This window comes from Homo sapiens, chromosome 22 (genome assembly GCF_000001405.40).
Source record: "Homo sapiens chromosome 22, GRCh38.p14 Primary Assembly".
Classification (NCBI taxonomy): domain Eukaryota; kingdom Metazoa; phylum Chordata; class Mammalia; order Primates; family Hominidae; genus Homo; species Homo sapiens.
The window spans coordinates 40,824,287-40,845,015 of NC_000022.11; the positions used below are offsets into that span (position 1 = coordinate 40,824,287).

Consider the following 20,729-nt stretch of genomic DNA (forward strand, 5'->3'; position numbering starts at 1 on the left):
TTTTGTATTTTTAGTAGAGACGGGATTTCGCCATGTTGGCCAGGCTGGTCTTGAACTCCTCACCTCAGACGATCTGCCCGCCTCGGCCTCCCAAAAGTGTTGGTATTACAGGCGTGAGCCACCGCACCTGCCCAATATCTAGTTTGAAACCGTATTTTAAAGACAGCTAGAAATATAACTATATTTTTAAGCAGAAAAAACTTCCTTCTGATAGCATCAGTACAAGAAAACATTTCTGGTTTAGAATATTGAGTTGAAAATTAAGAATGTATATTATGGAATTTAAAAATCTAAAAGCACAGGACACATTTTCAGAAGAGGAATTTTACTTTTACCCACTTATGGTAATATTTGCAATATTAGAATATAATTAGGTTAAATAAATCAAATAAGGAATCCAGAAGAAACTGTTCTTGAGTTAAGCCAAGTACACACTGGCAATTTCGAGAAAGGAGAACTCTACACATTAACAAAAGAACACACAAGCTCAAATGCAAGTTTATATGGTGAGTGTTTTTAAAGGATTTAAAAAGCATGCTCCATCAGCATAATAGCTTTTTCTCATTTATGTAACAGATGCATTTCTGTCTGCTTGTGTACAGCAAAGGGTTAGAACCTGAATAAACTTATTTATGATTTCAGAAATGTGGTATTTTAGAAATGTACTCCATAGAATTTACTTCACTGCTCCTACCACTGATTCTTCAAATAAGCAAAGTACAGAAGGCCTTATCCCTTGAAAATGTTTTTAAACACTAGCACTTTAAATTGAAACACTGGTAGAAACGTAGCAATGTCAGGTACAATGCCTATACTTAGTCTTATTTAAAATAAGAATTGAATGCACAACAGAAAATTTATCATTTTCTTTATCATTGGAGGGGAGGGAAAGAAAGCAAGCAGAGGTGGGGATATAGTTACACTATTTAAGAGCTGAATACAAAGACAATGAGTCTTTCATAGTCTCAACAACTCCACAATGAATAACTGTGGATTATCTCATTTATAATTCACATTGGATAAAAAAAATCGGTTCCCCTCTGTGTGTATCAATTTAATTCAAACCTTATCTTCAGAATACAAAGATGAATACTACAAGATAAACTAACTGCAATAGGTTTTTCTAAGTAGAAGACCAAACACCAAAGGGAATCCCTCTTTCCAATGTCTTCTGATAAGGCAAGATTTTGCCAGAATGGAAGTCTAACACTTAAATAAGCATTCTCTTGGCCAAGTAAGAAACTACAGTTGTTGTGGGTATTACCCTACAATTACCATATGTATTACATATTAAATTAAACTCAGCATTAAATATGCTTGTATAATTACGCTGTTAATGATGATAGCAGTGATGATGCCGGTGGAAAAAGCCTGTCTTTAGCTCAAGAAAAGTAAGGGAGACAAATGTAGCAAGCAGAAAGCAAACACAGATTTGGGCAATTTTTGACTAGGAAAGAGAATTTTAAGCATAGAAATATAAAAAGAAAAGTACTACCTTATTTCCCTTACGTGGAAATAATATGAAAAACACTTATTAGATATACTGGACAACAAGAGAACTAAGTACTCCAACTCTACTGCAGCATTACAAAAAAAACATCCCTTCACCACAGTGTAAGATTTAAGGGCAACCTGCCCAAGGATGCATGTTATATCAAACACAGCAAGATTGCTGCTGCCCTGCCAAGTACTTCCAATCCCTACCCAGGTCCTACTGAAATACGGGTGGTCCCAATTAGTTTTATTGAAATAAATCTTTAAAGAAAAAGATAAAGCATTTAAAAAGACAAGTCAAAATGCATCAGGAACCACATATCCAACACAAACTTTATCCTCAAATGAGTTATGTTTGCCTCGCACTAATAACTTTTATTTCACTCAGAGCAGTAATCTTCCATACATAAGTATATTCCCTGCCAATAATTCAAAGAAAAAAATCCAAAATGATTAGTAAAGAAAAATATAAGAATTAACAGGCCCTTTAAATTTGTTTTAAATATTTTGAAGATTTAAAAAGTGTTTAAAGTTTGTAATTCCTAGTAGGAAAACATTATCTGAATGAATACCCTAATGGCAAACCACTGTAAAATGCTTCAGCTGCATTTGGGGGAGAGGGGTAGGGATTATCTTCAAAGCACCCCAGCTCTCTTGATGAGAAGGTCAGAGGTACACTGGTTTGTATTATTGCGACATCCATAAGGTGATCTAGGTTGCTTTTCCTTCAGCAAGGGCTTTATTTATCAGAAGGACATTACGCTTGACCTCCAAATTTGGCTGACAATTTACTGATGAGATTCATAACCTTTGGGTTGCTCTGGTATTTTGACATATTTGCTGGGTTCTGAGCCACATCCTGGAAAGCCACCATAACTTCTGGATCCTGAAAAGAAAGGGTTCATTAGTATTTAAAAAGTGTCCTACTGGGTCAGTAAGTTTATTATCCTAAATTCCATCTCTTATTTAGACCTGTAATTTGGTGATAGTTAAGTTAAATGGGGTTTAGATGAGTGCTTGAAGTATCAAAATCAAGCTGAATTAAGTCATTTGAACTGTATGATGAAAAAAGCACAATTTTGATACAAAGAAAAGGACAACTGGATATAATTGCCGATTGCTAAGTATTTCCTAGTTTTAAAAATTTAAGTTACTCACTCTGCATAAAGAAAATAAATGTCACTCTTGCATAATTAGCTATTTGGTAACTGTGATAAATAAAAAATAGCTATGAGAGTAACCTTTGTCTCCACACAGAATTATGAAAGAATTGCCTTAATGATACAAAGTCCAAAGTTTTTCTTCCAAGTCTTACCTGCATGGCTGCAAGAACCTCTGGATCACTAAGAATTTCATTGAGTCCAGGCATTCCAGCCATTCCAGGCATGCCCCCTCCCATTCCAGGCATTCCTCCGGGAAAATTACCAGGCATTCCCCCAGGAAAGCCACCTGTAATAAAAAATGAATAGACACTAATCATACTCCCAAATATTCTGACACAGTATTTCATCCACAAAAAGTACAGGTTCAAAGAATATGGGTGCCACTAAGCACAAAGTAGTCTGAAGAGTCTGAAAATTCTAACCAGACTGCAACAAGACATAAGTTATAGCTTCTAATTATCTCTTTAAAAACAAGGCTGTAAATCAGACTTTGCTACCTCCTGGATTAACTTTTTTCTAGTAATAACACTGTTTTTTATTTTTGTTTGTTTTGAGACGGAGTCTTGCTCTGTCGCCCAGGCTAGAATGCAGTGGTGCCATCTTGGCTGACTGCCACCTCTGCCTCCCGGGTTTAAGCAATTCTCCTGCCTCAGCCTTCTGAGTAGTTGAGACTACAGGCACGCACCACTATGCCTAATTTTTATATTTTTATAAATATATTTTTTATTTTTATAAATATGTTTTATATTTTTATATCAAGTTGGCCGGGCCGCTCTTGAACTCCTGACCCCAGGTGACCTGCCTGCCTCCCTCAACCTCCCAAAGTGCTGGGATTACCGGTGTGAGCCACCATGCTCAGCAACTTTTTTCTAGTAATAACACTGTTAAAAAAGACTAATCTCGCCTTAAAAGCAAAGAGTCATCTAACAGTTCCTTAGATAATTATAAATTGTATAATTATCTTAGATTATAAAGCTAGTCATTTTGATCATCTTTCAACTCTCCATTCTTGAATATTTGTCTGTTTCAATTTAAAATTAATTCATACGAGTTTAGTTTAGGTTTTTGTTTCAACTATACTCTTCTAGCATAGATCTTCCTTCAGTTAAGGACGACCTTAAAAGGCTTATCTGTTGATTTTTCATTTCCATTTCAAATAAAATAAAAATTCTCTGAAAGTGAAACTGGAAACCTGGATTTTTAACAAGAATTCCTGGTGCTTCTTTACAGAGAATAATGCTCTAGCAAAAAGGATTTTATTCTCTCAGTATAATTTGTTCGATTATAAACCCAAATAATCTACTCTGTTCTTCAATATCATAAACCTGTATGTCTACTGGAGATATTCTAAAATTACAATTAATAATATAGAGAAAGATGGCTGGGCGTGGTGGCTCAAGCCTATAATCCCAGCACTTTGGGAGGCCGAGGCGGGCAGATCACGAGGTCAGGAGATCGAGACCATCCTGGCTAACACGGTGAAACCCCGTCTCTACTAAAAATACAAAAAAAAAAAAAAATTAGCCGGGCGTGGTGGCAGGCGCCTGTAGTCCCAGCTACTCGGGAGGCTGAGGCAGGAGAATGGCGTGAACCCGGCAGGCGGAGCTTGCAGTGAGCCAAGATCACGCCACTGCACTCCAGCCTGGGCGACAGAGCGAGGCTCTGTCTCAATAATAAAAAAAAAAATAATATAGAGAAAGACAACATTAATGTATTCTACAAAGGGTCACTGTAAGTAAAGCCGTTTTAAAGAAGGAAACACATGATAAAGTCATTTTTACCTGCTTCCACAGTTAATTAAAATATGGCCATTAATAACTAACAATCAGAGATGAAGAAATCTAAGGGGACCATAAAACAACTTCTAGTTTCTCTTGCTGCCCCTACTTATCCCAAAGCTTTGAAAAATTAGTGCCTACCCGTAACGAAATTACTGACCCAAAGCTTGTCAAATCTAAATAAAATGTACATAACAGAAAATTCTCTCTAGTACTAGCCCAACATTAGCAGTCACTTTCTAAAACAAAGATATCTGACAATAAGATTATTTATATTTTACATAGGAAGTAAACTATGAGCTAAATTTAATTTCTTGCTTTTTCTTCAAACAGCAGGTCATCCTCAATATTTGTTCTAGGTTTGTTTTCTGTTGCTGTGCACATACTCTTTCAGAATAAAGGCTAGATTTTCTAGCATCGGATCATGCAACTAAGTTCTAACCAGTGACATATAAGCATACGTAGCCTCTAAAAACTTTCCTTAAGAGAAAGCTAGTTACCATTAAACAACTGGAGACAGTTGTTTAAAAAACAAAAAATTAAGTCTTGTCCTGGTCTTTATATAAATTCCACACTGTCGTAATCAGGAAGTACTCAATAAATCTTCTGCGTGCCTTTTCCGTCTCTTCTATCTCTGTGTTAGTCCTGTCCTCTGGTATTCAAAGATTTGCCTCACTAGCAATTTCTGATCACATTTGAAAGAAAAATACGCTATTTTTACACTGTACAAAAAACATCATTTTTATGCCTAATAATTCCATCATTTCTTTTACCTAGGTTCTTCATGAATATCACTGTATAAGAGAACAAAATCAGAATATCACTTTATAATAAATATTAAGTATTATATTAAAATATCACTGTATAATAGAACAAAACAGTTTTAACTTTTCTTTAAATATACCTGGAAAAGAGCCATACTGAGCTCCTGACTGTCGTCTGGCTTCTTCCTCCTTTGATACAAAAGGAAATAAATTATATAATAGAAGAAGAAATAAGTGCTGTCCATGCAACCTGTCCATGCAAGACCATGAAAAAATTGTAAAATAACCTAGTAGATGGCAATACTGAACTGAAGGATATACTTCATACCCCCTTCAAACATTTTTTCCAAACTGGATTCTCAGTGGGCATTATTCTTGGTAGTAATTTCAAGTAAAGTGTTTTACTTCTACTCTGGAAACAAGTAAACCTGGAAAACAATTTATAGTACTAATATGAAAACTCTAAATTCATCCTGGCTTTAAAACACCCATAGGGAAGGACATGGCTAGATTACCAAGACTACCATGACTTTTGTTTCCTAGGTACATCTTTTCCGTTATTCTCCCTACATAATACAAATGTAGATTTATTGATTTGTTTTTGCTGCTTTTTAAAAGAGAAAATGAACAAAAAATAAATATCCCTCATATGTAGTTTTAAAATTATTGAGGAGATATATTGCTTTTAAATATCAAGGAGATAAATTACTTTTAAAGATTATAAACTATAACCTTAAAATCAAGTATGATGCTTAATATTAAATGGACAAAAAATTAGAATGTAACATATTATATAATACAGCCTTAGGTTCTTTCATGTTCTTTCATTCAATAATGTTAGAAATAAGTAGGTGAATTATTGTAGCATCACACTATGTTGCCCAGGCTAGTCTCGAACTCCTGGGCTCAAGTGAACCTCCCACCACAGCCTCCCAAGAGCTGGGACTATAGGCACTTGCCACCTTGCCCTGCTAGAATCATTTTTAAATAGCAACACATCCACTGTTGGAAGAGAGGAGGAATCATAAATTTAATTAATCTGGCGAAGCATCCTCAAAAGATCAAACAATAATACTGTCACATTTCAATTACTTGACCTGGAAAAACAACTGATTTTATAAAAACACAAACAAGAATATAAAATGGTGAAATAAAAGCTCACTGAATAATTTAAGACTAAAAATGTCCCCCAAATTAGATACAGTGAAAGGAGACTCCCCATAAGTAATATCATTACTCTATAGAACTGTAGCCAGCATTAAATAAAAGAGCCAGGAATTAAAATTTTAGTGTCCTAATGCCTCTACATAATTTGCCGTATTTTCCTTTCATGGCTTAGCTATAGGAAATTTACCCTCTGGGCTCTCTCATGCTCTTCTCGAGCCTTCTTAACTCGTTCTATTCTTTCTTTGATCTCTCGCTCTTCACGTTTTCGCTCATACTTTCTCCGATGTTCTGCAATTTTCTGTGCCTAGAAAAAAGAGCCATAGCAAAATAAGCTTGCTCCAAAAGCTGAATAACATCAACACAAATATTCTTTGTAGAGAGATGTTTAATTCAACATGCAGTTCAGAAAAATGACAGATTTGTCTTGTACAAAAAGACCTAACACAAGCTAAGCCTTTAAGAAAACCAACCTCAACTGCATGAGGCACTGTAAAACAGAGTAAAGGGGCCTGGGATTTGAAGTTAGAAATGTTATAATCTCAAACAATTAAGCTCAAAGATTAACAAACAGGTTTCTAAGTGCATGACAATTCTTGCCTGCTAGTTTCTATCAGATACACAGTGTTTAGGTTTCAGACGGACAGCTGAATTCAGTAGGAAGAGTATTATTACGGATGTCTGCCGTGGGAAGGCAGAGACTGGGAACTCATACCCCAAGTATATGCCACAGTATATTTAAGTTTCTGTATCCATAAAATGGGAGAGGAAGAAATATTTAATATTATCAAATTGCTATAGGGATTAAGAGGGAAAAATGTAAATATGTATACCAGACACTAGTATCAAATAAATGCTCTGGATGTTATTTCCTCAGAGAATAAAATACATTTAAGAGATTCATATTCAACTGTCACTTTAGCTTGTTTACACTTTGCTGACAAAGTTACAACTTTGCCCTATTTTAAGAAGAAAACAGAAAACCAAATGAACTCTCTGGCAGTAAATAATTAAATTCAATACAATTCCCACTATCTTAAAATCTCTGAGAGTAAATTCTTGACAGCTGAACTTCCCACAAAATGAAGGATTTACCATGTAAACACATTAAAATTATTTTAACCAACAATTTTAGATAAAAATCATCCTTAAAAGCTGGAATGTTCTACTTTTGGGATTCAATATTATTATTTTTAAAAGATTGAAACTTCTTTGTTTTATTAAGACAGCCTCGCTCTGTCACCCAGGCTGGAGTGCTGTGGCGTGATCTTGGCTCACTGCAACCTTCCACCTCCCAGGTTCAAGTGATTCTCCTGCCTCAGCCTCCCGAGTAGCTGGGACTACGTAGGCGCATGCCACCACACCTGGCTAACTTTTTGTACTTTTAGTAGAGACAGGGTTTCACTACGTTGGCCAGGCTGGTCTTGAACTCCTGACCTCATGATCCACCTGCCTCGGCCTCCCAAAGTGCTGGGATTACAGGCATGAGCCACCGCGCCTGGCCGGAAAGCCTGAAACTTCTTAACTTCCACAAGGTCTTCTTGCTTTATAAAGTGGTTGTACACACCTATGATAAATAAGGACACATCAGATTCAATCCTGGGTAATGCTAATTATAGATTTTCTATTTGTTTCCTTGTTGTAAACCTGATACCCCCTTTTCTAATTTTCTGGTTATAATTCCACTGCAGGCTTCCAAACAAAGTAACAGAGTTTGCTCTAATAATGCATGAGAAATGAAAGCATGAAAACCTAATGAGATCTCCAGAGTCGAGCACAAACTTCAGCAATTACAGATTATATCTTCCAATGGTTTGTTTCTTTGCCTGTTTTTCAGATGAATTACAGCTGTCGGGGGCTAAGCACTACAGCGATGGAGTATTTAACTAATGACTTTCCCTTTCTCTACTTTGACATACCCTAGGTTGAACTTCTTTCAGCATTGCACTAGCATCTTCATCATAATCCAATTTACAGGCAAGGGCAAGATCATGGGCTGCTTCTTCCCAGTGGCCTAGAAGTCTGAAACAGATTTACACTCATTTTAGGAGCCTTTTATACATATTCACCTATGTGGCATGATATCTTTCTTCCTTACAAAAAAGGATTGTTCTAAAACAGGCTTAAGTTAAATATTAACTATAAACTTTCACTAACCAATTCAATTACTATATCCCATTTTAGTTAACTCTATAAAAACCTGAAAACATTTAAATTTCCTCTATTTAAAGCTGCTTTTCTACTAAAAGCTAAAAAACAAACAAAATCTTTCTTAATTCAGAATATCGTAATTTTCTAAGTATGTAGACCAGTAACTTTCAACTCGCCCAAACCAGGACTAACATAATGTGTTAGCTTTTAGCTACCTTCTATGTAAGACAGAAGAGAAAATAATACATGTGTACAGGCTTTACGAAAAACTCAGAACAAGTAAACCAGAAACTAAAGGTTGGTGACAGTAGGTGAGAATGGGGCAGAGGAGACAGCAACGAAAACTGAGAATTCACTGGGTATACCTTTTAACTCAGGTGTAACTCTTCGAACATTTAAATGCTTTACATACTCAAAAAATAAAATCAGAAAAATGGAAATAAAGCAAATCCTAAACCTGAATACAAACAGAAATAAGAAGCTGTGTGGCTGGGCGCGGTGGCTCACGTCTGTAATCCCAGCACTTTGGGAGGCCGAGGCGGGCAGAACGCGAGGTCAGGAGATCAAGACCATCCTGGCTAACCCGGTGAAACCCCATCTCTACTAAAAATACAAAAAACCAGGCGCGGTGGCAGGCGCCTGTAGTCCCAGCTACTCAGGAGGCTGAGGCAGGAGAATGGCATGAACCCAGGAGGCAGAGCTTGCAGTGAGCCAAGATCGCGCCACTGCACTCTAGCCTGGGTGACAGAGGAAGACTCCATCTCAAAAAAAAAAAAAAAAAGAAATAAGGTGTGGCTAGGCGCGATGGCTCATGCCTATTATCCTAGCACTTTGGGAGGCTGAGGCTGGTGGATCACCTGAGGTCAGGAGTTCAAGACCAGCCTGGCCAATGTGGCAAAACCCCATCTCTAATATAAAAAATTTGCCACACATGGTAGCGCACACCTGTAATCCCAGCTACTTGGGAGGCTGAGGCAGGAGAACCGCTTGAGCCCGGGGCGGGTGCAGTGAGCCAAGATTGCACCACTTCACTCCAGCCTGGGTGAAGGAGCAAAATGCCTCAAAACAAAACAAAACAAAACAAAACACTGTGTATTGCATTAACAACATAAGCTACACAGAAAAAAATGAATTCAAGTAACTTTTCATAGTTATCTTGACTGTATATTTCAAGTGGGATATATATTCTAAGAATAAGAACATCCTTGGGTCACACCTGTAATCCCAATGCTTTGGGAGGGGAAGGAGGGCAGATCACTTGAGGCCAGGAGTTTGAGAATAGCCTGGCTAATAGGCGAAACCCCCTCTCTACCAAAAATACAAAACATTAGCTGGGCATGGTGGGGCGCGACTGTAAGTAATCCCAGCTACTCAGAAGGCTGACTGAGGCAGGATAATCACTTGAACCTGGGAGGTGAAGGTTGCAGTGAGCCTAGATCGCACCACTGCACTCCAGCCTGGGCAACAGAGTGAGACTCTGTGTAGAAACAAAAGACAAAGCAAAACAAAAACTTCCCAAAAAACCTTCAAACTTTACTTAGAGTGTATACTGTTTTTAAGGTATTGTAATTCTGAAACAGTTTTATGTATATCACAGCATTGTAGTAAGTAAATGTAAAACTAGGACAAAAATTTTTACCACACAAGTGTCAAAAATACAAACTAAAAGGTAAAACAAAACATTTAATGTTACATTTTAATAGAAAATATCAGTATAAACTCACAATTTCAAGAATTTTTTCCCTAAATTCATGATTTTTAAAATGTTTTTTTCTAGCTGTTCATTGAAACGACAGTACATACCAGAAGCAATGAACAGACACAGTGATCAAATCTTAGTTTCCGCTATAATGAACCACGATTTCCCACAGAAATAGCTTATTTTCAGTCTGAGACAAGCAAAGCACAAGATGAGCCAACGCTGTCTTGTATTAGAAGGCAAAGAAATACTTGGACTAATGGGATTTCAAAAGGATCAACAGCAATGCATGGGCTTTTCCTGTGCTGACACAGCATTAATAAATTTTATTTCAACTTTTAATGTTTATCTTTAACATGTGTCATAAAATCCACTAGAGCTACTCTGAGTCAGCTAATACAGTTGTCCTAAAAACATATCCATCTTTATCTCCATCCACATTTGAGCCCTTTCAACCCAGGTAACATGTGAAAGTCACTGAACACTTCATTCCCAAGATACAAATATTCCTAAGTTTTGCTGCAAGGTATAATTACTAATCTGGGTTAAATTCACCTCTTTATGCCCCCCCGCCTTCTCCTAATTTTTCAGGTGGCCTAGCAGTGACTGAAGTAGTTTCAGGCTGGCATACTCCTTCTTCTATAATACACTGGTAGTTCAATGCTAACTTACAGAGTCTGAAAGTAAGAGAAAATTTGTAAGGACACTGATAAAAGATCATTCTTTCTTTTCCTGGAATTAATTTTAAGTAAAAATCCTTTCCTTATATTTGGCCATATGTAGTCAAAAACTGGTAAGAGTAGCTTTATTTGAATGAAAAAAATGAAAATACTTTTTATTTCTTCCTTCCTATATTCTCACTTCTTCTTTTAAATTTCTTTTTTTTTTCTTTTACCTTTTAAGCAGCTGTCTACAAGCTATCTCACTTCTTGATACTAAGTACACACTAATTTGAAAATTAAGTCATTAGGAACTTTTGTGTTTTTGTTTAAACAAAGCATCTTAAAACATCAGATTTAAATGTAAAGAGTTCTGAAAATAATTAAATTCAATTATTTACCTGTGTGCTTTCCCCCGCCACTTGTAAGGCTGAGCTGAATCAGGATTTATTTCAATGGCTCTGTCACAGTCTCGGATGGCAGCATTTGGCTTCTGTAATTTGACGAAGACACTGAAAAATAAGTGTGTTATTAAAAAGTATTCATTTCAGTAAAAGTTTTGGGATCAACACAGAAGCAACTCTATTTAAACAAATGTGCAGAAATTATTTGCCAGGGGATGCTTTTCTGTTTAGAGTTCTCACCTGGCCCTCTTGGCATACAAAATGGCCAAGCGAGGATTCAGCTTGATGGCATCTGTGAATAAGTCAATGGCTTTCTGGAGTTCACCTAAAGTGAAACAAAAGTTATCGAGAAATATTCAGAGGATAAAAATATTAATAAAAAGTTTTGATCTGTTATCCAGTTAAGTCTTTTACATTTTTCTTTTAATCAAGTAAAAATAAAAAAGACAACTAAGTTATACTAAAACTGGCTCTTGAAAGCAAATCTTACCACACCTATACTGTAACTCACGAGGTAAGACAATTTCTGAGTACGTAAGCCCCTAACTAACAATAGAATAGCACATTCTTAGTATGACCCATATTGATCTTGTTTAAGGAAAAAGTAGACGGGCACGGTGGCTCACGCCTGTAATCCCAGCACTTTGGGAGGCCAAGGCAGGCAAATCATGAGGTCAGGAGATCGAGACCATCCTGGCTAACACGGTGAAACTCCATCTCTACTAAAAAATACAAAAAATTAGCTGGGCGTGGGGGCGGAGCCCTGTAGTCCCAGCCACTTGGGAGGCTGAGGAGTGGCGCGAACCCGGGAGGCGGAGCTTCCAGTGAGGCGAGATCACCACTGCACTCCAGCCTGGGTGACACAGCACGACTCCGTCTCAAAAAAATAAAAATAAAAATAAAAGAAAAAAGTAAAAAGATAAAATCAATTTAAAGGATAAGATAAATTAATTTTATTCCATTGATTTTCTTTTATCCATTAAATTAAAAAGAAAAAATTAAGCTTAGAAAGGAAAAGTAACCCATGTTAACTTCACAGGGCTGATTTTAAAAGAAAACAACAATATGCTTATTATTTGAATTCAAAGAAATGGTACAAAAATTCAAGAAAACTAGAATTCATAAAAGACCATAACCTATACTTTAATTCATTTTGTCCTATTCTCATAGTTAGCTTCTTTACTAATCCCTTATGTCATTCAACAAATAAAACACCCTATAGAATCAGAAGAGTTCTTTGCACAAAGTCTAAATCTTGGGGAGGCAAGACAAATACAGAATTTTTTTTAAGAGACAGGGTCTAACTCTCACATAGGCTAGAGTACAGTGGCATGATCATAGCTCACAGGCTGAAGTGATCATCCCACCTCAGCTTCCTGAGTAGCTGGGAATACAAGCCCACAACACTAAACCTGGCTAATTAAAAAAAATTTTTTAGAGACTGGGCCTCACTGTGTCACCTAGGCTGCTCTCGAACTCCTGGGCTCCAGTAATCCCCCCAACTCAGCCTTCTGAGTAGCTGGGATTACCACTGTGCCAGGCCGAACACAGAAATTTTTAAATAAATGTCACAATTCACTGTGAAAGATACTTAGCCAGTTAGCGAATGAGTAAAGGACTTGAAAAGAACTCACAAAAACAACACAGAAAAATGCTCAGTCTTATTAATTACTACTACAGGTATCTATTATAGGTAATTACACTTAAATGTCTAATAAACAACTCAGACCTACCATGTTCAAAACCTAAATTTTTTTTATGACAGGGTCTTGGCTGGGCACAGTGGCTCACGCCTGTAATCTCAGCACTTTGGGAGGCCGAGGCAGGTGGATCACCTGAGGTCGGGAGTTCAAGACCAGCCTGACCAACATGGAGAAATACCAAGACCAGCCTGACCAACGTGGAGAAACCCCGTCTCTACTAAAAATATAAAATTAGCCGCATATGGTGGCGCATGCCTGTAATCCCAGCTACTCAGGAATCTGAGGCAGGAGAATCGCTTGAACCCGGGAGGCGGAGGTTGCGGTGAGCCAAGATCGTGCCATTGCACTCCAGTCTGGGCAACAAGACTGAAACTCCATCTCAAAAAAAAAAGGTCTTGCTCTGTCACCCAGGTTGGAGTGCAGTGACACAATCACAGCTCACTGCACCCTCAACTTCCTGGGCTCAAAGGATCCTCCCAGCCTCAAGGGAACCTCCCATCTCAGCCTCTCAAGTAGCTCATATTACAGAAACGTGCTACCACATCCAGCTAATTTTTTGTGTTTAAGAGATGGAGTCTCACTGTGTTGACCAGGCTGATCTTGGACTCTTGGACTCAAGAGATCCTTTCGCTTCGGCCCCTCAAAGTGCTGGGATTGTTAAGTGTGAACCACCACGCCCACTCAAAACCGAAAAACTGAATTCCCATTTCCTAGCCCATTTCCAAATCTATTCCCAATCTGTATCTTCCCAACTAAACAAATGGCTCCTCCATACATTTAGTTCAGGAGTTGGTAAACGTTTTCTGGAAAGGGCCAAATAAGAATTATTTTAATCTCTGCAGACCATACAATCTGTCATAACTACTCAATGATGCTGTTGTAGTGGGAAAGCAGCCACAGTTAAGTGCCAGACGTGGGATTCAAACCATACCACTCTGGCTCCATACTCCAGGTTTTAATTACATTCTCCAAACAAAACTGCCTTCACCAACCTTGGTGGAGCTTGGATTCACAACCCCTGCTTTAGAATACTAATCTTTTATCCTTTAGAATACACTATACAATTGCATAAATTCTAAAATCAGAACTAGATTAAATTTACAAAGGCACATGAACAGAGAGTTCAGAAAAAAGTGAGAAAACAAAAACATGATTAGGTGATAGCCTCATTTTCCTTTTGTTACATATTGCCGAGACAGTAAATTTTAAAATGGGCTGGGCACAGTGCCTCACACCTGTAATCCTAGCACTTTCAGATGCTGAGCTTGGGAGGCCTGCTTGAGGGCAGGAGTTCAAGACGAGCCTGGGCAACAGGATGAAACCCTATCTCTACCAAAAAAAAAAAAAAGAGATAATAATTAGCCAGGCATGGTGGCAGGCACCTGTATTGCCAGCTACTCAGGAAGATTGCTTGAGCCTACAAAACTTGAGGCTGCAGTGAGCCATGACCATGCCACTGCACTCCAAACTGAGTGGCAGAGTAAGACTCTGTCTCTTAAAATTTAGGTGGTAGGGAAATTAGCAAAAGTTTCGTGCGATGAAAAGGAATGGTACAGAAGAGCAATGGCTGGGAACAACTGATAGGTATGAATTAAAAGTTGAAATATGTGAAGAAAAGCTTTCCAGAGAAACAGTATAGCATAAATAAAAAAAAAAAAAAAATTCTAGAACAGTAAAGTCTGACTGGAGAAAACAAGATTGGAGAAGTAAAATACAGGATCTTAGTCTGGCAGGTCTATAATCCTCTGATGAAGATCTTAAATATATATGCAAAAGTTAATCACAGGTTACAAGCAAGAGTAGAATAAAAAACAGCTCTAAGAATAACCTAGGGAAAGTAAACAGAAAGCAATAAAGGAATAAATTTTTCAGGAAGGTAAACTATTAAGGCAACTGCAGTATAAAACAGTATAAACATGTTTTAAGGAGCTAAATTAATCAGGTGGTAGAATCACAAAATGTTTAAAATATATACTAACTCGGAACATCAATACTGAACTCATTCTAAAAATAACTTCAATCATCTTCTAAATCTAATAATGAAGTCCAAATGCACATGAGCACTATACAATAGCATCTAGTCAACTATGGCATTGTGACACACTATCACTGTTATAAAGAGTGAAATATTACTCAAGCAGCCACAGTACCCAAGTTTATACATGATTTGTTCTTACAAATTATAACCGATCAAACATTACACTTAATACTACCATGGGCCGGGCGCAGTGGTTCGCGTCTGCAATCCCAGCACTTTGGGAGGCAGAGGCGGGCACATCACTCGAGGTCAGGAATTTGAGACCAGCCTGGCCAACATAGTGAAACCCCGTCTCTACTAAAAATACAAAAATTAGCTGGAGATGGTAGCACACGCCTGTAATCCCAGCTACTAGGGAGGCTGAGGCAGGAGAATTGCTCGACTTGGGGTGGAGGTTGCAGAGAGCCGAGATCACGCCACTGCATTCCAGCCTGGACGACAAAGCACGACTCTGTCTCAAAAATAAAAAATAAAATAAAATACAACTGAAAAACAGAAAAAAGAAAAAAATAATAACCTATTGTTACCTTGGAGAGTTAAAAAAATAAATATATATAAAAAAAGAGGCTGGGCGCAGTGGTTCATGCCTGTTATCCCAGCACTTTGGGAGGCTGAGGCGGGCAGATCACGAGGTCAGGAGTTCAAGACCAGACTGGCCAGCATGGTGAAACCCCTTCTCTAATAAAAATACAAAAAATTAGCTGGGCATGGTGGTACGCGCTTGTAATCCCAGCTACTCGGGAGGCTGAGGCAGGAGGACTGCTTGAACCCGGGAGGCGGAGGTTGTAGTGAGCCGAGATCGCATCACTGCACTCCAGCCTGGGCAACAGAGTGAGAATCCGTCTCAAAAAAACCAACCAAACAAACAAACAAAAAACAAAACCGAATACTATCACCACTTTCTCACTCTGAGGGGATTTACTCAAGAGAATCTAACATGCTCTGACTAGGACGAAGATTGGTATGCCTATGAACATCATCTGTCAAGGGTATTAGTATGTAAAAAGTTAAGGGTCACTGTTCTACTACTACTTTTTTTTTTTTTTTTTAAAGCCTTTCACCTCTTTAAAGCCTCTTCTCAGCAGAAAAACACCACGATAGGGTCAGGAAATCAGAGACACTGAATCAAATAAGGATCTGTCCTTGCAGAGAGAAGTGATTTCAGCCTCTTTTATCAATGAGGAAGGGGTGACTGGATAATAGGACACTATCTTCTCCAGTATAGGACAGGTACATGTAACTTCTCTTCTACTTTACCACTATTTAAGTTACTGCAATAAATATTCTGACTACCATAGAAATGTAGCAAAAAGATTACTCACCATCATTTAGGGCTTCAATAGCAGCCACTTTTTTATCATTTGCCTGATCCATCATCTCCTCCGTTATCTAGGAAGAAAATAAAAATCATCTTAGAATTAGTAGAGAGAGAGAGAAGGAAGCAATTCATACTTTCTTAGGGATGAGGCGCAGTCACAATACCCATTTTCATTCATTCTTCTGTAGTCTCCAGAGAACAAAGAGACAATTATGATAACTCATTAGTGAGAAATTACATACGAGTTTTAACCTTTTATACTAAACAAATTTCACTCCTACACTCTGCCCGAGACATAACCTTTGCTTAACCTTCCGTCCCAACCAAAGCATACCAGCTCCTACCTAGCTATCCATAAATATTAAACCCAATCTCCTCACAAAAAGATAACTAGCTCCTTTTAGGTTTAAATCCTCAGAAGAGAAAGGTCTCATTCCTTTGTTCCCACAAACAACTATTGAGCACCTATGCTATATAGATAGACCAAACACTGTACAAGATGCTGACAGTATAAAGATTAGTTAAGAACAAAAACATGTGCATCTGGGCAACAGAGGGCGATCCCATCTCTCCAAAAAAAAGAAAAAAAAAAAAAAAAACAAGCTGGGCATGGTGGCACATGCATCTGGTCCCAGCTACTCAGGAGGCTGAGTTAGGAGGCTCGCTTGAGCTCAGGAAGTCAAGGCTGTAGTGAGTCTTGATTGTGTCACTGTACTCTAGCCTGGGTGACACAGAGCAAGACCATGTCTCACCCTACCCCTGCAAAAAAAGAACAAAGAGTTATAGCAAACATCCTCCTAAAATGGAAAGCTCTGGAGATCTTTAACCACAGGAAAAAAATATACAACTCATGCCTATAATCTCAGCACTTTGGGAGGCTGAGGCAGGTAGATCCCTTGAGCCCAGGAGTTCAAGACCAACCTGGGCAATATGGCGAAACTTCGTCTCTACAAAAAATAAAAAGAAAAAATAAATATTAAATATAAAAATAATGTTTTATTTAAAGACAGGGTCTACCTCTGTCACCCAAGCTCCGGTGCAGTGGTGCAATCACGGTTCACTGCAACCTCCATCTCCTGGGCTCAGCCTCCCCTCAAGTGTAGCTGGAACTACATGCTCGCAACCTACTAAATGTTTTGCTTTTTTTTTTTTATAGAGACGGGTTTTCATCATGCTGCCCAGGCTGGTCTAGAACTCTTGGACTCAAGTGAGTTGCCTGCCTCACTCTCCCAAAGTTCTGGGATTAGAAGCATAAGCCGCCACTCCTGGCTGCAATTTTATTTTGAAGGTAATGCAGGACACAGGATACAAAGTCTATATTCAGAGGAAGAGAATGTATGTGGTCTAACCAGACACCTTCCAAAATAAATCTGCAACTCCAAATGCTAATACCGGCAAGCATAATGGTATAAACCTGTCCTACAGAAACGGACAGTTGAGTAGTGAGATTAAAAGAACTTCCCCTGAAAATTCAGAGCCACAGCCAGCCTTTCATCTGGAATTCTGTATTACCAAAGTAATTGGAACAAACAAAAAAACACCATGCTGAGACTTTCAAGGGGTCCTTGAGTTGGTAGCACCAATTCAGAGACTTCATGGAAGCAATCACCTTCTTACCTAGGCCTCAAAATTTTTCTACAGGTGAAGTTCCAAAGAACACATTTTCAAAATATCACACACAACACACAAACACATCATAAAGTAAACAAGGTACCTTAATGAGCAAGAGCCATGAAAAATAAGAGTAAGACCAGCGAAGAGTTCAACAAGGAATTTAATGTGTTTAATAAAAGTAAATTCTGAAAATGAGTAAAGAGCAAAAGACTTACAAATAACCAAGTAGACTTCAAAAAGATTTGAAGTACCAAAATGAAAAACACAAGCATTCCAATTCAAACATCAATGGAACAGACAAAGCATAGACTGCTTTTCAGCAGAGAGTGATAAAGAAATGAAACTTAATAACAAAAGTCTAACATTACCAGGGATCCAGAATTAGAGCATAAAGTAAACAAGAAGGAGGCAATATTTAATAACAGCTGAAAATATTCTAGAGCTAAAGAAAGTTAACCCTAGAATTTGATGCTCACTGAATCCCAAGCAGGATAAATAAAAAATTATAAACCTAGACACATCATAAAAGAAGTAATACCATCAATAAACATAACATTTAACCTTTAAAGTTTCCTTTGACAAATGGTGACAGAAAGTACTTACATTTGTTCTTAACAAAAATGCACAAGACTTACGTCAGGTGCAGTGACTCATACCTGTAATCCCAGCACTCTGGAAGGCCAGGAGTTTGAGATTTTGTCTCTACTAAGAATTTTTAAAAATAAAAATAAAAAACTAGCTGGACATGGTGGTGCATGACTATAGTCCCAGCTGGTCAGGAGGCTGAGGTGGGAGGATCACTTGAGCCCAGGGCGTCAAGGGCGCAGTGAGCTATGATTGTACCACTACACTCCAGCCTGGATGGAAGAGTGAGACACTGTCTCAAAAAAACAAAGCACAAGACTTATGGGGAACACGTTAGTAAGTTATTAAAATATTTTAAAAACACCTAAAAATTGGGCAGATAACATTATTTATGGATAGTTTATCTCAATGGTGAGGAGATATATCTTTTCCCGAACTTGATTTAGATTTAACACAATTCTAACAAAGGGGAAAAAAACCAATGGAAGCGGGGAGACTTGATCAACCTATTTCTAAAATTTACTTGGAAAAACAAAAAGCCAAGAACAGCCAAAAGACTAAAAAGTTTTGGGGGTCCTTGTTCTACAAAATAACAAGACTTAGTATCAGACGATGTGGCATTAGTGAACAGAAAAAAAATAGACAAGCAGAACAATAAACTCCTGAAACAGACCCACAATATTCAGAAACAGTGTATTTTAGTTTTGGTGGGACCGGTAGATTAAAGGTGAAAGGTGAGTGTATAAAATGTTCAGAAGAGAAAAAGCAATGCACTACAGCAATTATAACCTCAAAGTAATAAAGCAGAAAATATCTGCATTAAAAGATACTATTTTTGAAACAACATGAAGAAAGATGAGTGAAGATGAGTCACAAACTAGCAGAAAATATATGCAGCACTAGCAACAAATTATTAGCATCCAGAATATTGAAATGAAATACAAAGCAGTAAGAAAAAGATCCAGCAAAAAGTGGAAAAAGTTTAAACAGGAGTTCGCAAATGCCAGTGAACAGCCAATAAACATTTAAATATGCTCAGCCTCATTAGGAATCAGGAAAATGCATTTTTTTTTTTTTTTTTAAATAGAGTTTTGCTCTGTCGCTCAGGCTGGAGTGCAGGGGTGCGATCTCACCTCACTGCAACCTCTGCCTCCTGGGTTCAAGTGATTCTCCTGCCTCAGCCTCCCAAGTAGCTGGGATTACAGGCGTGCACCATCATGCCTGGCTTATTTTTGTATTATTAGTAGAGACGGGGTTTCACCATGTTGGCCAGGCTGGTCTCAAACTCCTGACCTTAGATGATCCACCCACCTCGGCCTCCCAAAGTGCTGGGATTACAGGCGTGAGCCACCCTGTCTGGCCAGGAAAATGCAAATTAAAAGCCACAAAAAGATACCATTTCCCACAATACTTGGCAAAGATGAAATCTGATAATATCAAGTTTTGAGGATAAAAACCAATCTTTTAAAACTGCTATTACTATATTAGAGTGTTTCTCAAATTTTTATCAGACACTAAGGAGCCTTTTTAGACATCTTTTCCTCATTTCCATATCCCCAATTTTAATACCACAGATACACTACATATTAATATTCTATGAGTCTTTGGAGGACCACTAACCATTGTAATATATAGAATTTTTTTTAAGCCCTCCTCCCAAGAACCAATTTTCACTCCCTTGAGGGCCTGTTATGACAAACCATTCTGTAATACAATTTGGCATTAGATATTCCATCAAGAGCAACTCCACTAATAGGTATGTATTTTAAGTGAATTCTGCGTTACAGTGCAAGCAGTCACACCAGATGCAAACTTAAAAAACAGATAAAACAGAAAGTAACAGTATTTATTTTCATTAGTATTTTAAGTAGTAAAATACAATGCTTGCCTAAAACGCCTGAAGTCAGAGAAAGATTTACTATGCGCTTTTCCTGGAAGAATCGTGTCATAAAATCATTGCAACAGCAGGACCTTTCACATTTCTTAGAACAAGCAGGAAATCAAGTCACCGAACTTACCTCCGCATTTTCATCTCCCATTTCTTGAGGAGCATCAGTGTCTGGTTCAATCACACCTTCTTTATCAATTTCTGCCAAAGTCGAGAAAATGACAATAAGACCTGCACCGTACAATATAGTAGCCACTCCCAAGATTATTAAAAACTGACATACTATGACTACTACAATTAATTATTT

At 37.8% G+C, this 20,729-nt stretch overlaps 1 protein-coding gene across 2 annotated transcripts in view; it reads right to left on the reverse strand.

The window, feature by feature from the left end:
• Positions 1-248: 248 nt before the first annotated feature.
• The window catches only part of ST13 (ST13 Hsp70 interacting protein), a 32,105-nt gene continuing 11,624 nt past the window's right edge, over positions 249-20,729 (reverse strand). For both annotated transcript variants that reach the window (NM_001278589.2, NM_003932.5), the window contains exons 4-12: positions 20,553-20,623; positions 16,340-16,406; positions 11,517-11,601; positions 11,274-11,384; positions 8,283-8,385; positions 6,554-6,670; positions 5,340-5,388; positions 2,810-2,943; positions 249-2,380 (exon numbers count right to left, since the gene is read on the reverse strand). In NM_001278589.2, coding sequence (NP_001265518.1) covers positions 2,252-2,380; positions 2,810-2,943; positions 5,340-5,388; positions 6,554-6,670; positions 8,283-8,385; positions 11,274-11,384; positions 11,517-11,601; positions 16,340-16,406; positions 20,553-20,623 — 866 coding nt within the window. In that variant the 3' untranslated portion in view covers positions 249-2,251. The remainder of the gene's footprint in view (positions 2,381-2,809; positions 2,944-5,339; positions 5,389-6,553; positions 6,671-8,282; positions 8,386-11,273; positions 11,385-11,516; positions 11,602-16,339; positions 16,407-20,552; positions 20,624-20,729) is intronic.